The sequence below is a fragment of the Homo sapiens genome, chromosome 2 (assembly GCF_000001405.40).
Source record: "Homo sapiens chromosome 2, GRCh38.p14 Primary Assembly".
Taxonomy (NCBI): domain Eukaryota; kingdom Metazoa; phylum Chordata; class Mammalia; order Primates; family Hominidae; genus Homo; species Homo sapiens.
In genome coordinates this window covers 66,904,017-66,923,031 of record NC_000002.12, presented here as the reverse complement: position 1 = coordinate 66,923,031, position 19,015 = coordinate 66,904,017, and the positions used below count along the sequence as shown (strand labels likewise).

The following is a 19,015-nucleotide window of genomic DNA, read 5'->3' as shown; positions in this document are numbered from 1 at the left end:
TTTGCTTAACTTATTTGAGACATTTTGTTTTCTGTCAGGGGAAACAATAATCATGATGTTACAAAGCTGTTGTAAGAAACAGTGAGTTTATCCATAAAAGCACTTTGCAAAATCACAAAGCACTAGACAAGTGTTAGTTGTTATTTGTCCTACGTCCTCCGGAGTTGCCTCTCTTGTAGGTTGGAGTAAGAGAGGAAAGTTCAAAATCCCAGGAACCATTTCTGTCTTTTCATCAGATTCCAAATGAAATAGGTTGGCTTTGCTCCTAAAACAAGGTGAAACCAAGGTAGAGAAGGAGAAGAGAACAAAGGGAAGAGACTTGGACCGAGGCACATACAATAATCTGCCATGAAGAAGTATCATGAAGCCATACAATGCTGCCAAGGACAAGAATGTGATGTTTTCTCATTTGACACATTTATTGATCAATTTATTTTTGTTATGTGGCTTGACAGAGCCTGAGAGGGAATGTGAAAACCTTTCACCCAAGTTCTAGAATGTCTGATATTGTCTTAAAACTTCACATTCCTCTGTGATTCCAATGGACTCATTCAGCCCCAGGTTTGAATTTTTTCTAGTTTTCACACACACACACACCCACAAAAAGGCATAATACCTGTAAGAAGGAAAGCAGTCCTCTAGAATTGAAGTGTTTGAAAAAAAGCTATGAGCTCAATGTTTTGGAGGAAATCCCTTCTATAGCAGTGGAAAGAAGGCAGCTCACTTTGGAGTAAGTGTGGATAGAACTGGAAATAGGAGATATGGGAGGGACAAGAGAAGGCCAATAATCTATGAGTTTATGTCCTCAGCTTTGAATGGTAGGACCGTATCTGCTATTCAGTTTTTGAAATACAGCTGTGCCATGTGGTAAGTATACACCACCCCCTCAGAGCCTACCTCCTGCCTTAGTCCTTCTGACCCCTCTCCCATAAGTCTACCCTGCTGGACCAGCCCAAAATCCAGAAATTGGACAGTTAATGCCAAGCTCAACATGGCACCTCCTGGACTCTCCTCTAGAGCGATGGCCTGTTTTTAAATCTGTACCAGATTGTCAGGTTGCACTAGATATGTTCAAGGAGGCTGATATCACTCCTGTATTGGCACTACTCTATACTTCCTCCCCATCCTGGTTCCCACTCCCCAAACATAGGTGCACACACATGTACGTACATGTGCACAAACGTGTACATACAAGTCTACATTTGCACACACCTGTGCATACATACATGCACACAAACATGCACATGCAAATTTATGTACAAACATACACACCTGCACGCACACATATCCTCACTTTGCCCCAGCTTCACCAACTTCTCCTTGCTCTTCTTTCTGCTAGCACTGAACCTTCACACTGGGACTCAGCTGCCATGCTTCACCTTGGGTATAATGATGACAGAGGTTGAGAAAGGTGACTCCCTCCATTGATGTATTTCGCCATGATTACCTCCCACCAAATGATACTAATACTCCTGAAAATACTTAACATTTATAAAATGTTTATTTTCTGATTCATGCCAAAGTACTTGTAAGCCTCCTTTTTTCTCCTATGAAAAATGATACCAACCATATCTAGTTCACAGATTTGTTGTGAGGAATAAATAAGGGACTGCATCTACAGGATTAGCACAGTGCCTGGATATAGCAATTGCAACAAATAGTAGCTATTGATATCATGGTATTTGTTATTAATATTAATTTTATCATTCAGTTTTTGAGTTGTGAGTTCCTATATCCTTCTAACTAACTCATCACATTTTCAAAATGATGTCCTAGTAAAGGAGAAAGAATCTGAGAAAATGTTTCTTCACTTCTTTTTTTTTTCTTTTTACTAGTAAAGCAAAGGAACGGGCAGAGGCAAGTGTGCTTAGTATTTTATGGTTAAATTTAAATTAACTTAGCAGCTGACATGCATAGAAAACCAAAATAAGCTATGACTTTTTAAAAACTATTCCTTCACAATGTGAAGGAATTAACAATTGCAATTAACAATTAAAATAATTCCAAGAGTTGTAATTTGGGAGGAGGATGATTTGCTAAAGCAATTCAAGGTGCAGCCTCCTTTCAGGAAGGTCATTACAGACTTTGCTTGTACCTCTTTTGGAACACAAAGGCCATGTAAGACACCTATTACCTTTCCAAAGAGGACATTATCAAAGTCTAAACTATGTCCAAAGTGTATTTTACACCTAATAATTAGGACTGGATGAGCAGCTAAGAAAAAAAAAATATGAACCTGCTTAAACTAAATTGGTTCAGCTCTAACTGATCTAATGCAGTTTTCCAAAGAATAATTGATATTATATAATTGTAACTGCCAGTTTATGTCAGAAAAGTGACATTTGATACTTTCTTGCTAACCAGCCTAACATCATCAATTAAAACATCACTTCTACAATGACATTTCACTAGTCAGCTTAACATCATAAATTATGACATCACCTCTTTCATGAAACCAGAAGATTGAAGAAAGGCGACTGACTGAGAAGCTATTCCTACTGGAAACTAAGATTCCTCTTTGATTTGTGCCTTTAGAATCTTTTTTGCTCTGATTATATTGCCGAGATGATTACTAAAAATAGTAATAATAATAAAAACCTCACAAGATCATAGTGGAAGCCATTAGAGCAAATTGTACATTTTCTAGCTCCCCTTAGTTATGGTTCAACATCCCTGGATGGTGATATGAGGATTTTATTTCACAGCTGAACTATGAAATGGCTATTCTTGGAAATCCCTGGAAAATAAGAAACAGAAAAGACAAATTTTGAGTTTGGGTTTGAATTTGGAATGGTATATTCATGTCTCACCAAACCCGTTTTAAAACAATTTATATGTCAGGAAGGTTGCATATACCTGTAGCCCTTCCAAAGGCTAACTACTTGTTTTTCCACCTGAGGCTCATAAGCACATACTATAGAAAATTTGATGGGAAATAGATCTTTTAAGATGGAAGGCCCAGATCCCAAAGAAGGAACATTCATTTTTGCCCACCCAAAACATTATATTTTAAGGCAGAAAGGAGTCATTTTCCAAACTGTTTCCTGAATACCTACTGGACCAGCAGCTGTAAGAGTAAGGAAACTGAGGCCAAGAGGAGGGGAAGCAACTTGCCTAAGGTCATACATAAAGCAAGCATAAGACGACATAGTCCTGTTCTACAGCCCTGTGGTCTTGCCACAATCGAGCATGAAAAATGCGAGATATGGCATCACATTTATAAGGCCACTAAACACATATGTGCTGTCTTCCTCTTTCTTTTACAATTTGGTAGTGGAAGGATAAGATGACCTTTTAGTGTGTTAATCAAGAAGGTAATCAAGTAGACTTCTTCAAAGCTATTTATATAATTACATATAGGATTACCACAAGAATTTGTAAAAAGATTATTTTTCTTTTTATATCATGTAGCAGAATTGAGAAAACAATAAAGAACAAGGTAAACATTCTTGTCTTCCACTAGCGTTTGGTTTGGAGCATAGTAGAGCCACATGCCTCCTTCTAAGCTAATCTATACTTGAAGTGTTGCCAAAAAAGAGTGCCACCAGGGGGATCATAGCAAAACTCTCACAGTTTTATCTGGTAGTTGTGATTTTAATTCTTAAATCCAATCATCAAATTCATTGGATTAAGGGGGTTTCCCCACACTAGTCAATGGTACAACAAAGAAACAAGTGAACAAAAATAAGACAAAACAATTACTTGTATATCAATATTTTAACAACTTTAATTGCACAGAATTAAGAAATTCTGCTTTATCCTGAATTTGGTTAATTATGACAGGCAAGTTTACACTGACTGCTACTGGGCAAAGTCCAACAGCAAAAGACCACAAGGCATAGATACTTGGACTGTTTGATGATCAAACGCTAAAAAGAACTAAATTTCTGGTTCCTCCCAGTATGATTCTTAGTGCATAGCTCATCCTGACAAGGAAAATTGTTACTAATTTTCCCAAGGCATAAGAAGATAAAGTACAAAGTAAAGTGTCATAAAAGGTCTTCCCCTTACATATTGCTTCTGCAACTGTAGTCACACCAGGAGTTTTCTGTGTGTTGATTTTTGAAGCAAAGGTAACCTTTTTGAGAGCATCTTTGGGTTAAAGAGTATAAAAATTAAGTCTGGTGTTTGTGATTGTATCAGTCCATTCTCACACTGCTACAAAGAACTACGTGAGACTGGGTAATTCATGAAGGAAACAGGTTTAAGTGACTCACAGTTCTGCAGGCTGTACAGGAAGTAAGACTGGGGAGGCCTCAGGAAACTTACAATCATGGCAGAAGGTGAAGGGGAGGCAAGTATGTCTTACCATGGCAGAGCAGGAGAGAGAGAGCAAAGGGGCAAGTGCTACACACTTTTAAACAACCAGATCTTGGAAGAGCTCACTCACTATCATGAGAACAGCAAGAGGAAAATCTACCTCCATGATCCAATCACCTTCTACTAGGTTCTTCATTCCACACATGGGATCACAAGTTGACATGAGATTTGGTGGGGACACAGAGCCAAACCATATAAGTAATAAAGAGAAAAGCCATTGCTATTACTAGAGGATGGCTGTTTTTTATAATAAAACACATCTCACGCCTACATACATATTTTTGGATGGGAAAGGGGAGCAGCGTTATTGACTTAGTAGAATTTATAATTTATAGAATACATTAGAATCAATGTTTGAGTGTTGTTTAGCCAATTTTGGCAATGAATGAACTCAATAGCAGGCTTCACAGCGTATAACAAATTCCAAGCTTCCAAGTAATTTTATGTTAGTTGAGGCATATTTTTCCGCATTAGAAAATGTTTAAATCTTCGAATTATTTTTTTAAGGACCAGAACTGTAGAGAAGGAATAAAGTGTCACAGGAATAAGAACAATTTGAGAGGCTCCAAATGCACTTGCTTTCTTCTTCAATAAGCCAAAGCATAAAGGTGGTGCCCAAATACTGGCCCAGGGGATGTGTCAGTTGCCATGAAAATAGTTCTTAAATAACAGAGCAAAGATTTTAATCAAATCCATGCAAATTGTCAGAGCATATCTTAGTCACCTCTAGAGGTGGGGTGTGATTTACTTAGCCTCATTTCTTGAATTTTTTCCAAAAGTTTTTGCCATGAATATTTATGTCTAGGGTTCATTTACCGACTGAATTTCCACTCCATTGGAATTATGCATCCCCATAGTGCACCGAAGAAAGGTGAGCAGTTAGAGGTGAGGAAAGAGATTTCCTGACCTTTTGGAAATAGCAAGCTACACTGGATTAAGTACAGCTTGAACGAGGTTACTTGTGTTGGTGAGGTGTAATTACCTCAAAATTATCTCACTGAAACAATTAGCATGCAATAGATTTGGTGCCAGATCTGCCGCTGTTCTGAACTTTCGTTAAAGCATCTCACTCCATCCTGAAATTGGGCAATTTATAATTCTTACGGAAGGTGCTAGGACTCTACATATTCCTGCTCCTGAGTGCAGACTTATTTACATCTGGTGCTTGTCAAATGAGTTGTACATGTGAAAGTGCTAGACTTGATGTGATGGAAGTGTTTCTTTGGTGATGAAGTGTTCCCTAGACAAGTTCCCGGAACCATCAGATATACAGACGACAGCCAGCTCCCCCTCTCGTTAAAGACCTCAAGTCCTCAAGCTGAAGGTGCTGAACTTCTGGTACCCAATCATCCTCAGCTGGTTCTTTGTATTTTTTTCATTTTAATTTATTTATTTGAGATAGAGTCTTGCTCTGTCACCCAGGCTAGAGTGCAGTGGCGCAACCTTGGCTCACTGTAACCTCCGCCTCCTGGGTTCAAGCGATTCTCCTGCCTTAGCGTCCCTAGTAGCTGGGATTATAGGCACCCGCCACCACGCCTAGTTAATTTCTGTATTTTTGGTAGAGACATTTCACCATGTTGGCCAGGCTGGTCTTGAACTCCTGACCTCAAGTGATCTGCTCATCTTGGTCTAACTGGCTCTTTTTAAAATGAATACAAGGCAAAAAGGACTCAAGTTTGAGCATGCAGCAAAATAGTACATTTTTGGAAATCATTTTCATTTCCTCTTTGCTTTTTTACAAAACTTCCTCAAATGGAAGGGGCATTTTTATTACACTTTATTTATGTTTCTGACAAAATTTAGAAGATATTTCTTAAGCAAAGCTACTGTCTAAACCTCAAAGATCAGTTAGTCATAGGCAGGGTAGTGATTGTATAGAAGAAAGATCTAAATTTTTGTTAGAAAGCTTTTAAGTAGCTTTTTGAAAAATAGCTTAAGTCATTTAAAAATACGTGAGAAACCACAACGAAATGGGATTTTTTTCAAAATCATTTTTTCCTAAATTGATTATGTACTATATACCCTGAAGGTGGTGTCTGTGCAGTTAGGGTGAAGTACAGTTATGAAATGAATTCAAATTTATACTCTATAAAAGCAACTCTTTCTTTTACTCAATAGAAGGAAAACAGTATTTGTCTTAAGTAGTAAACAGATATATGCTGATACATAAACAAGAGCTACTTATTCTGTAACTTGAATGGAATCAAGAAATACAAAAAGAGATCAACTAAAAAGGTGTCTGAAGGATTGTAAATGTTTATGATTCTTGAATAAAAAGAAACACAACATTATAAAACATATTTGTATTGGTTTTTACTACCTATGACAATATGGTGTACAAAACAAACTGATCTGGATAGACTAGAAAATAAACAGTGGCAGAGATGTTGTCCACAGGAAGAAAAATGGCTAAAACAAACATTTACTGTGAAGCCATTTTTTGGATATTTAGTAAGTACCAAGTGCTGTGTTAAGATTTCATATATCTTAACTAAGTCATTTATATTGCACAGCCATCTTTGCAAGTGAGTAATATCATCCCAATTCTCAAATTAAGGATGTCTGAGCCCCAGAGAAATCAAGAAACTTGGAAATGTCACATAGCTGATCAGTAATAGGCTAAAGTATGAATTCAGGTCTAACTGCAAAGCTTCAACTTTTTTTTACTACATAATTTAGTGAGTAGCTTTTTACTGAGGAACTTTCTTTCTCAGACACATACACACACACACACACACACACACACACACAGAGAGACGGGGAGAGAGAGAGAGAGAGAGAGAGATTAACCTTTATTATGGAAGTGCTATAAGTTTGAGCCTATACCAAATTGAAAGTGAAAGATATTGATAAAGTTTAAGGGTTATTCACAAGGAGGGGTGATCATATTATTTGGAGAGAATGGTCATATTTTGATACTCAAATAATCTTAATGTTTATTAATTATTGAGACTAACTGAACAAGACTTAAGCATTTGCCTCATGGAAGTCTTTTCAGTGTCCTCTTTGCCTTCACACCAAACTGCCCTAAATGGAGGATGCAGCTTTACTTTATCTTATTTTTGTTTCTAACAACATTTAAACTGAATTTCTCAAGCTAAGTTACTGTCCAATGAAACTCTAAAGATCCATGAAATGGTGATAAAATATCCATGGCATTCTGATATGCAACTGTGATCTTTATACATTTTTACTTTGTTGTTACTGGAATAAGGCTTTGATTTGTGTTTAAAGTTATGACTCTTCTCATAAAATTCTCTGGTGTTTTTTCTTTCAATTGTGTAATGGTGCAGTGTGCTAGAAAGCACATTGAACTGGAAGTAAAAGGACTCGGTTGGCCTTGGGTCATGTCCTTTTAGGTATGCCGTCTTAGCTGGGTTAGTCCCTGGGTAGCTCCAGACCTCCCTTTCCTCATCTGTCAGCAGGATGTTAGAAAACCACACTCAACTCTAAATTCCATCACAACTAGAAAATTTGACTTTTGAAAAACTTACTTGTGTGACTGTATAATCCAAAAAATTTTCATATATTGTAACTGAAAGCCTGCCCACTTAAGGTTAGACTCTTTTGCACTATGCAGAATCCATGCCTATTTTCTTTTATTCTTTAGTGAGTTTTAATGGGATGTTCTACTGAAATTTAGCACCAGTTATCTGACTGTGTTTTTGAGAGTAGTTTTTATTTAGACAAATTGACTTAGGAATATCTACTCAGCCCTATTCTCTTCGGTAACAGGCATTTAAAAAAATTAGTTCAAAGCTCTTCTGAGGTTGGCAGACTCATTATGTTTATAAGTTCCACCTACATGAGGCACTAGAACACATCTTCCCAATATTACATGTTGACACTTCTTCCACAATTCCCAACTTCTAAATGACTTCCAATTTCATTCTGTTTACACTCACTTTCTGGTGATCTCACCCAGTCTTATTTATACCATTTAGAATGCTGATGATTCCCACATTTTTGTCTCCAGATCAAACCTCTCTCCTGACTTTAGACTGCCTCGTTGACATCTGTCTATTTGACCTCTTTACTTGGATGTTGTTATGGATTGACTTGTGTCTCCCCAACCCCTGAAAGATATGTTGAAGTGTCAGTACCTCAGAATGTGGCTTAATTTGCAAATAAAGTGTTTACAGAGGTAATCAAGTTAAAATGAGGTCATTAGGGTGGACCCTGACCTGATATGACTGGTGTCCTCATAAAAGGGAAAATTTAGATACAGAGACAGACACAAACAGAGAGAAGATGATGTGAAGATGCAGAGGGAGAAGAGGGCAATGTGCCTGGAGGCATGCATGGACAAGTCAAAGAATGATGAGGCTTGTGGGCAAACCCCAGGAGCTAGAAGAGGCAAAGAAGTGTTCCTCCTTAGAGTCACCAGAAAGAGCATGATGACAACTTTATTTCAGACTTCTAGCTTCCACAACTGTGAGGCAATAAATGTCTGTTATTTTAAGCCATGCAGTTTTAGTATTTTGTCACAACAGCCCTAGAAAACTAACGCAGATGCCTAAGCAGCATCTCAAATCTTACATGCCCCAAGAAGGGCTCCTGCCCCACTCTCCTCCCTGGACAATTCTCCCTTTCTATGTTACTGGGAGCTCCAGATTATTGGTTGCTCTGACAAAACAGTTTGGAGTCATCCTTGACTCTTTCCCTCTCATTCTTCTCATTAAATCTACCCTCAAAATACAGTAATTTATAGAATCTAAGCTACCAGCAATTGTGAGGTACATGATTATCTTATCCATTCCTAAAAAAGAAAAAAAATCTAGCAATCTGTGATCAGTGCTATTGCTTAGAATTTTTATTTTATATGTATTTGAAGACCTCTACACTTATGTAAACATAAATTTGCCATATATCATTATTCAGTATGAGGAAAGTGTATGTGAAATAAGTTGGTTAAAGTTTCCAAAAAGATTATTGATTTCAAAACCTAGCTTCTTAATTACTTTCGATTCAGAATCATACAAGTACATGGTTTTCCACAAAATATCATCCATAGTGCCATTAAGAGTAGTGGGCAATGCAATGCTCTGCTTCCTGCAGATTTTGAACTGAAGTTGCAAAGCTCCAGGAACCTGTGATGCAATTGAGTGAGAATAAAAATGCAAAACCAACTATGTGTATGTGCAGAAAAGTGGCAACTACATCTCTATGTCTCCTGTTCTGCAGTGATGGTAAGAAGCCATCAATCACAAGACTCATTCCAATTTCAAAGATGCTACAATGTTTAAAAAAGAGAGAGAAAGAGAGAGAGAGAGAGAGAGAAAATGTTAAGACCAAAATACATATACTCTCTACCATTATCCCCTAGTCCAAACCACCCTCATCTGTTCCCTGGCTTCTCATTGAAGCCTCCTAATTAGTTTCCTTTTTTCTGTAGTTGTCCCTCTATAATCTATTCTCCACACAGCAGGCCATGTGATTCTTTCACAATGGGAATTCAATGGAATCTTTTCTATGTGTAAAGGCAGGTGGGTATAACTGGCTACAGAATATCATCCAATTCTATCACTTGACTACATGCAGATCTTTCATGTATGCAAATATTTTTCCCCACAACACTGCACATTTCTGAAGAGCAAGTACTTCATCACCCATCTATACAGGGTCTTCCACAGCCCCTGCTAAAGAGCTATGTCCATCTAGAAAGGGATAAAATTGCAGAGAAAAAAATGAAATATATACAAGCACTTAAAGAGGGTATCAATTAGATAGGGCCCACAACAGGGATAGAGTCATTACTGTGGTAAGCCTCAGGGTATTTGGAAAGTTTATTTACTAAGAATCTCATTGGATTGGCGGTCATAACATCTATGGAGGAAGTAGTGAATGTCAATCAAATTACTTTGTAGAAAGTTAGGTTGATCCACGTTTGTCTTTTAATTTAGGGAGTAAAGGAGCCTGCCCTCAGTTCACTTACCCTCAGAGGTATTCTTTAGGAAACTATTGTGTATAATTATAGAGTAAGACTGGGCAAGTATTCAATAAAACTGTGTTTGTTTTGTGTGTGCCTGTGTGTGTGTGTGTGTGTGTGTGTGTGTGTGTGTGTATGGATCATTCATCACTGGTGGTGCTGCCTTCCTCTGGATAACACTCTCAACCTTAATTCCAGCTCTAGTCAACTTGATTTTTGCCTTCAGTCTATACACTTAGAGAATTCTTTTTTTAATTCTGCCTGTAAGAAGCATCTATTGACAACTGCTTACCTTTAAGGTAATTTGGGTCATTATCAAAATTAAACTTAAATGACATATGCTATTTAATTCCCATTTTTAACTTTTAGTTCTATATTTTTATCTTGCTATTCTACATTGTATCCACTTTTTTAAATAACATAAAAATATTGGAATTTTTAGAAATTGTAAAGAAAAATGAAATAAATGAGATATTTGAGAGCCCTTTCTGGCTGGAAACTTCCTATACAATTTCTTCTTATAGTATGCATATTATTTACCTCTTGTCCAGTGGTTGTACTGAAAAGAGATCATCAGTTTAAATAATTCATATCCCTATAAAGGATTCGGATGATTTGTGATGTGAAAAGACAACATTATTTCAATGGTTTGGCTGTGCTGTGACCGAATGCAGGATTAATGTGATCTTTGGAAAGAGAGATTGACCCATGCAGCTATTATTTTATTCAGTTGAAAGACTTATCAGGAAAAAGACAAGAATGCCTACTCTCAACACTTCTACTCAATATAATATTAGAGGTTCTGGCCAGTTTAATAAGGCAAGAAAAGACTTTAAAGTGAAGTGTATCATCTTTGCAAGGTGGCCAGTATCACTGTTGTGCACCTTCAGAGATTATGCACATTGTATTGTATGCAAATGTGAATGGAATTCTGGAGCAGTTTCCTCTTAACATTTACCTACTCCAAAATTGACCACATAGTTGGAAGTAAAGCACTCCTCAGCAAATGTAAAACAACAGAAATTATAACAAACTGTCTCTCAGACCACAGTGCAATCAAACTAGAACTCAGGATTAAGAAACTCACTCAAAACTGCTCAACTACATGGAAACTGAAAAACCTGCTCCTGAATGACTACTGGGTAAATAATCAAATGAAGGCAGAAATAAAGATGTTCTTTGAAACCAACGAGAACAAAGACACAACATATCAGAATCTCTGGGACACATTCAAAGCAGTGTGTAGAGGGAAATGGATAGCACTAAATGCCCACAAGAGAAACCAGGAAAGATCTAAAACTGACACCCTAACATCACAATTAAAAGAAATAGAAAAGCAAGAGCAAACACATCAAAAGCAAGCAGAAGGCAAGAAATAACAAAAATCGGAGCAGAACTGGAGGAAATAGAGACACAAAAAACCCTTCAAAAAATCAATGAATCCAGGAGCTGGTTTTTTGAAAAGATCAACAAAAGTGATAGACCACTAGCAAGACTAATAAAGAAGAAAAGAGAGAAGAATCAAATAGACGCCATAAAAAATGATAAAGGGGATATCACCACCGATCCCACAGAAATACAAACTACCATCAGAGAATACTGTAAACACCTCTATGCAAATAAACTAGAAAATCTAGAAGAAATGAATAAATTCCTCGACACATACACCCTCCCAAGACTAAACCAGGAAGAAGTTGAATCTCTGAATAGACCAATAACAGGCTCTGAAATTGAGGCAATAATCAATAGCTTACCAACCAAAAAAAGTCCAGGACCAGATGGATTCACAGCCGAATTCTACCAGAGGTACAAAGAGGAGCTGGTACCATTCCTTCTGAAACTATTCTAATCAATAGAAAAAGAGGGAATCCTCCCTAACTCATTTTATGAGGCCAGCATCATCCTGATACCAAAGCCTGGCAGAAACAAAACCAAAAAAGAGAATTTTAGACCAATATCCTTGATGAACACTGATGCAAAATTCCTCAATAAAATACTGGCAAATCAAATCCAGCAGCACATCAAAAAGCTTATCCACCATGATCAAGTGGGCTTCATCCCTGGGATGCAAGGCTGGCTCAACATACGCAAATCAATAAATGTAATCCAGCATATAAACAGAACCAAAGACAAAAACCACATGATTATCTCAATAGATGCAGAAAAGGCCTTTGACAAAATTCAACAACGCTTCATGCTAAAAACTCTCAATAAATTAGGTATCGATGGGACATATCTCAAAATAATAAGAGCTATCTATGACAAACCCCACAGCCAATAACATAGTGAATGGGCAAAAACTGGAAGCATTCCCTTTGAAAATGGGCACAAGACAGGGATGCCCTCTCTCACCACTCCTATTCAACATAGTGTTGGAAGTTCTGGCCAGGGCAATCAGGCAGGAGAAGGAAATAAAGGGTGTTCAATTAGGAAAAGAGGAAGTCAAATTGTCCCTGTTTGCAGATGACATGATTGTATATCTAGAAAACCCCATCGTCTCAGCCCAAAATCTCCTCAATCTGATAAGCAACTTCAGCAAAGTCTCAGGATACAAAATCAATGTACAAAAATCACAAGCATTCTTATACACCAATAACAGACAAACAGAGAGCCAAATCATGAGTGAACTCCCATTCACAATTGCTTCAAAGAGAATAAAATACCTAGGAATCCAACTTACAAGGGATGTGAAGGACCTCTTCAAGGAGAACTACAAACCACTGCTCAATGAAAGAAAAGAGGATACAAACAAATGGAAGAACATTCCATGCTCATGGGTAGAAAGAATCAATATCGTGAAAATGGCCATACTGCCCAAGGTCATTTATAGATTCAATGCCATCCCCATCAAGCTACCAATGACTTTCTTCACAGAATTGGAAAAAACTACTTTAAAGTTCATATGGAACCAAAAAAGAGCCCGCATCGCCAAGTCAATCCTAAGCCAAAAGAACAAAGCTGGAGGCATCACGCTACCTGACTTCAAACTATACTACAAGGCTACAGTAACCAAAACAGCATGGTACTCGTACCAAAACAGAGATATAGACCAATGGAACAGAACAGAGCCCTCAGAAATACTGCCACGTATCTACAACTATCTGATCTTTGACAAACCTGAGAAAAACAAGCAATGGGGAAAGGATTCCCTATTTAATAAATGGTGCTGGGAAAACTGGCTAGCCATATGTAGAAAGCTGAAACTGGATCCCTTCCTTAAACCTTATACAAAAATTAAGTCAGGATGGATTAAAGACTTAAATGTTAGACCTAAAACCATAAAAACCCTAGAAGAAAACCTAGGCATTACCATTCAGGACATAGGCATGGGCAAGGACTTCATGTCTAAAACACCAAAAGCAATGGCAACAAAAGCAAAAATTGACAAATGGGATCTAATTAAACTAAAGAGCTTCTGCACAGCAAAAGAAACTACCATCAGAGTGAACCGGCAACCTACAGAAAGGGAGAAAATTTTTGCAACCTACTCATCTGACAAAGGGCTAATATCCAGAATCTACAAAGAACTCAAACAAATTTACAAGAAAAGAACAAACAACCTCATCAAAAAGTGGGTGAAGGATATGAACAGACACTTCTCAAAAGAAGACGTTTATGCAGCCAAAAAACACATGAAAAAATGCTCATCATCACTGGCCATCAGAGAAATGCAAATCAAAACCACAATGAGATACCATCTCACACCAGTTAGAATGGCAATCATTAAAAAGTCAGGAAACAACAGGTGCTGGAGAAGATGTGGAGAAATAGGAACACTTTTACACTGTTGGTGGGACTGTAAACTAGTTCAACCATGGTGGAAGTCAGTGTGGCGATTCCTCAGGGATCTAGAACTGGAAATACCATTTGACCCAGCCATCCCATTACTGGGTATATACCCGAAGGACTATAAATCATGCTGCTATAAAGACACATGCACACATATGTTTATAGCGACACTATTCACAATAGCAAAGACTTGGAACCAACCTAAATGTCCAACAACGATAGACTGGATTAAGAAAATGTGGCACATATACACCATGGAATACTATGCAGCCATAAAAAATGATGAGTTCATATCCTTTGTAGGGACATGGATGAAACTGGAAACCATCATTCTCAGTAAACTATCGCAAGAACAAAAAACCAAACACTGGCATGTTCTCACTCATAGGTGGGAATTGAACAATGAGAACACATGGACACAGGAAGGGCAACGTCACACACTGGGGACTGTTGTGGGGTGGGGGGAGTGGGGAGGGATAGCATTAGGAGATATACCTAATGCTAAATGACGAGTTAATGGGTACAGCACACCAACATGGCACATGTATACATATGTAACAAACCTGCACATTGTGCACATGTACCCTAAAACTTTAAGTATAATAATAATAAAATTAAAAAAAGAAAAAGAAAGAAATACAAAAGACCTAAGATAGACCAGAAAACTTTCAAAAAGATAAAGTTGGAGGACTTACAGTACCTAACATCAAGATTGATCTAAAAATTAGAGTGTGGTATTAACATCAACATGGGCAAATAGATCATTGAAACATAACTGAGAAGAAACAGATCCATATAAATATGGTCAATTGATTTTCAACAAAGGTGCAAAGACAATTAAATAGAGCAAGGACAATCTTTTCAACAAATGGTGTTAAAAAGATGGGCGATTCATTGGCAAAAACTAAACCTCAACCAATACAACCGTATACAAAAGTTAACTCGAAATGAATTACAGAGCTAAATGTAAAACCTGGCACTCTAAAACCTCTAGGAAAACGAACAGGAGAAAATCTTTGTGAATTTGTGTTAGGTCAAACTTTCCTAGATATAATACCAAAACATGATGCACTAAACAAAAATTTGATAAACTGGACTTCATGAGAAGTAAGAAATTCTGCTCTTCAGAAGGCAATGATGAAAAGACAAGACATGGACCAGGAGAAAATATTTGCAAATCACATATCTGATAAAGAATTGAAATCTAAAATATAATGAGAAATCTCAAATTCAAACATCTTAATATTTTAGTGGGCAAAATATTTGAACAGACACTGCAGCAAAGATGTATGGATGACAAAAAGCACATGAAGATGCTCAACATTATTAGTCATTAGGAAGCTGAAAATTTAAACCATAATGTGATACTACCATACCTTTTACAATGGCTAATATTGAAAAGACCGTTCATACCAAGTGTTGACAAGAATGTGGAACAACAGGAATTTTCATACACTGCTGGTGGGCATGTAAAATGATACAACCACTTGAAAACAGTTTGACAGTTTCTTAAAAAGTTAAACATACACTTACCGCATGACCCAGCCATGCCATTTCTATACATTCACCCAAGAGAAAAAAACCATATGACTAGACAAAGACTTAATAAGTGAATGCTGAATGGAAGCTTTATTTGTAATAGCTAAAAACTAGAAACTTAAGTGGCTACCATCAAGTGAATGAATCAACAAATTAATGTTTATATAATGGGCTATCACTAACAATAAAAATAGCAATACTTGAAATAACATGGATGAGTTTCAAAATAGGTACACTGAGTGAGAGAAGCTAGAGAAAAAAATCTTACACACTGTCTGATTCCATTTATATAAAATTCTAGAAAATGCAAATAAATCTATGTGAAAGAAAGCAGATCAGTGCTTTCCTGGGAATCACTGGGGGATAAGGTAGGGGGTAGGTGTGGAGAGAGGTGGGAGTGAGAAATGAGAAAGGGCTTGAGGAACCTTTAGGAAATGATGGAGAGGTTCATTATCTTGATTATGGTAATGATTAATTTCACAGGTTTGTATGTGTCAAAAACTATTATACTGTACACTTTGAATACGTGTAGTTTATTATATGACTTTTGTACCTCAATCAAGCTGTTAAAACTTTATTGTAAAAGTGTTTAATTAGAGGAATAGTATGTTCAGTTCATTCAGTAAGTATTTACTGAATCCTGTCTATGAGTCAGGTGATTTAAAAGTAAACTTTAGGAATATTAACCAGGCTGGTTATGTGACAGATTTGATGTTGAAGAGACTAAAAAGGGAGGGACTGAAGGAAAACACATACATTATGGAGTGACAAGGACCTAGGTTCAGATCCAGGCTCTTCCACTTAACACCCCTGTGGCTTTTGAAAAGTTAACCTCTAAGCTTCAGTCACCTCATCTGCAGGAGGAGACAGCACGTATCCTAGAGTCAAGGCAATTTGTCTGGAAATCATGTAAATAAGTACTTTCTCCAGGGTAGCCACTACTTTACAAGACAGCAGGTATTAATAGTATTTTCTTAACAAATGAGAAAGATATTGCTTTTGTTCAGACTTGACGTTACAGAGGCCAAAACCAAGGAAAGGAAACAAAATGACCCATGTGAAATAATTTTGTTTTTCTAATAAAAAGACAAGAATTGGTGGTTGATTAGGTTTTGGAAGCAAGGGAGTGGCAAGTGTCCACGATAAATAGAAGAATGATAGCTTCATCACTAGTCGCTGTTTTAGTAATAGGGAGGGAAGATCAAGAGCTGTAGGATGACGACTAGTATAGTATAAACTAGCATTACAACCATGTGGATAGGTCCTGACAGTGGTTTTTGATGCAGGCCCGAGGTCGAGTCTTTTATATATCATTAAGAATTGAAATCCCATTTTGGGAAGCTGAGACGGGTGAATCACTTGTGGTCAGGAGTTTGAGACCAGCTTGGACAACATGGCGAAACCCCATCCCTACTAAAAATACAAAAATTAGCCAGGCGTGGTGGCGTGTGTCTGTATCCCGGTTACTCAGGAGGTGGAGACAGGAGAATCACTTGAACCTGGGAGGCAGAGGTTGCAGTGAGCCGAGATTGTGCCACTGCACTCCATCCTGGGCTACAGAGTGAGGCTCCATCCCCACCCCCCAAAAACAAACAAACCAACAAAAAAAAGAATTGAAAGCCCAACAGTAGATCAGTCAAGACTCAGTCAGGAAACCACCAGCCACTCTGTATATTTCACACTTAAGGGCACAGAATTTGTTATGACAATATCAAAAGGGCTAGAAGAGCAACAGATGGGGTTGCCAATAGCCAGAGGATGCATGCATTGAATGTGCCTGAGCTGGAGCCTTCAGCTTCACTGGCTTCTGTGCTATTGGAAAAGCTATCAAAATTTAGTTCCAGACTCACCATTGACAAGGGCTGGAGCTTCTGGGAAGACACGCCCCTGCCTAGGCTTCTGGAGACTAGAATCCCCTACATTCTGTTGTGCCATGGCAACTACCTGTCCCTGTGAGTGACTGCCAACACTGCTGGAGTCAGGAGAAGGAGGTTTCTAGTTTCTCCTGCCTTCTGACCTTCCCCAGGTGCCTCTACTGACAGAGCCAAATGGCAAACCAGCTGGCGAGTGAACCCAAGGAAGTAAGAATTTGCTAACTCCCAGTCTTGGCAGCATAAAGCAGAGCATAAAATTCAGGACTGAGGGGCAATAGGCAGATTACCAGCAGCGTCTATAGGAATAACTGCAGAGAAAGAACAGGCATGCCCGCCGGTGGAAATTCAAGCAATGGAGAAAGAGACATGGTTAGAAAGAAGAGTAAGAAAATTTCACAGCTCTAGAAATCAAATGAAGAGAGTTCAAAAAAGAGATGTATTCAGCTGTGTTCAATGCTAGAGAGAGGGCAAGTTCTAAGAGAAGGTCACTGGATTTGACAATTAGCAATCCTGTCCACCTTGAAAATCCAGGGTTAATTTCTCTGTGTTTGTAGGAGCAGACACCAGATTTCAGAAAAAGTCAAATGACAGAAAATGAGGGGTGAGTATCAACTTATTGTTGCCATTTGGCAAGACGTGAGAAATCAACTGACATGTCACGCCTATAATCCCAGCACTTTGGGAAGCCAAGGCGGGCAGATCACTTGAGGTCAGAATTTTGAGACCAGCCTGGCCAACATGGTGAAACCCTGTCTCCAATAAAAATACAAAAATTAGCCAGCCGTGGTCCAGCTACTCAGGAGGCTGAGGCAGGAGAATAGCTTGAACCTGGGAGGTGGAGGTTGCAGTGAACCAAGATCATGCCTCTGCACTCCAGCCTGGATGACAGAATGAGACTGCTTAAAATAACAACTTGGACCTAGCAGGAGGACCAACACATCCTAGTTTTTGCAGGACTTTGACAATTTTACTCTGAAAGCCTCTCTGGTCCCAGAATCTCTCAGTCCCCAACAAGCTGAGACAGTTTATCACTGTAACCCTGTGTGTCTTAGAGAATGTTCACAAATTAGCTACATTCAGATTTCAACAAAGGATGCAGAAGATTTGTTACCTGAACGTACTGATGTACTTCCAGAATAACCATTGTTCTGCTCCCCGGTTCACTAATAGTGCGGTCATTTCACGTAACTTTAAATGCGATTCTTCTTCATCCGGGTCTCACCCTCTTTAGTCCGTCTGCTGGCCGCAGAGATATCCCAAGAGTAGCATTCTCCTACTTGGCTTTTTCAGCTCAACCTTCTCACAACACCCCAGTTAATTAATACCTGCCCTGGGTCAGCCTGGAGGAAAACGTGTTGAGCTTGGAGATTTCCATTGTAATGTTGAACTCCAGAAAGGAGCAAAGCAAATTTATACCAGTGGGTCTAATTGCTAGAAAGGTAATTCTGCAAAGATGGAAATCAGCTGAAAGATTAACACTGCTATACCACCTTGAGTGCCCTGGCTAACAGAGAGAAAATAATGTTTCAATTAAATGAAAGGATACTGAATTAGGTAGATTACT

At 38.1% G+C, this 19,015-nt stretch overlaps 2 long non-coding RNA genes across 2 annotated transcripts in view; one reads left to right on the top strand and one right to left on the bottom strand.

Moving 5' to 3' along the window:
• LINC01799 (long intergenic non-protein coding RNA 1799) overlaps nucleotides 1-18,596 on the bottom strand; it is a 67,031-nt gene extending 48,435 nt beyond the window's left edge. The window contains exon 1 of the long non-coding RNA NR_110169.1: nucleotides 18,563-18,596. This is a non-coding gene — a long non-coding RNA (long intergenic non-protein coding RNA 1799). The remainder of the gene's footprint in view (nucleotides 1-18,562) is intronic.
• On the top strand, nucleotides 542-1,522 carry LINC01628 (long intergenic non-protein coding RNA 1628). Its single transcript, NR_110600.1, has 3 exons — nucleotides 542-730; nucleotides 810-867; nucleotides 1,340-1,522. It is a non-coding gene; the product is annotated as a long intergenic non-protein coding RNA 1628 (long non-coding RNA).
• Nucleotides 18,597-19,015: the final 419 nt, after the last annotated feature.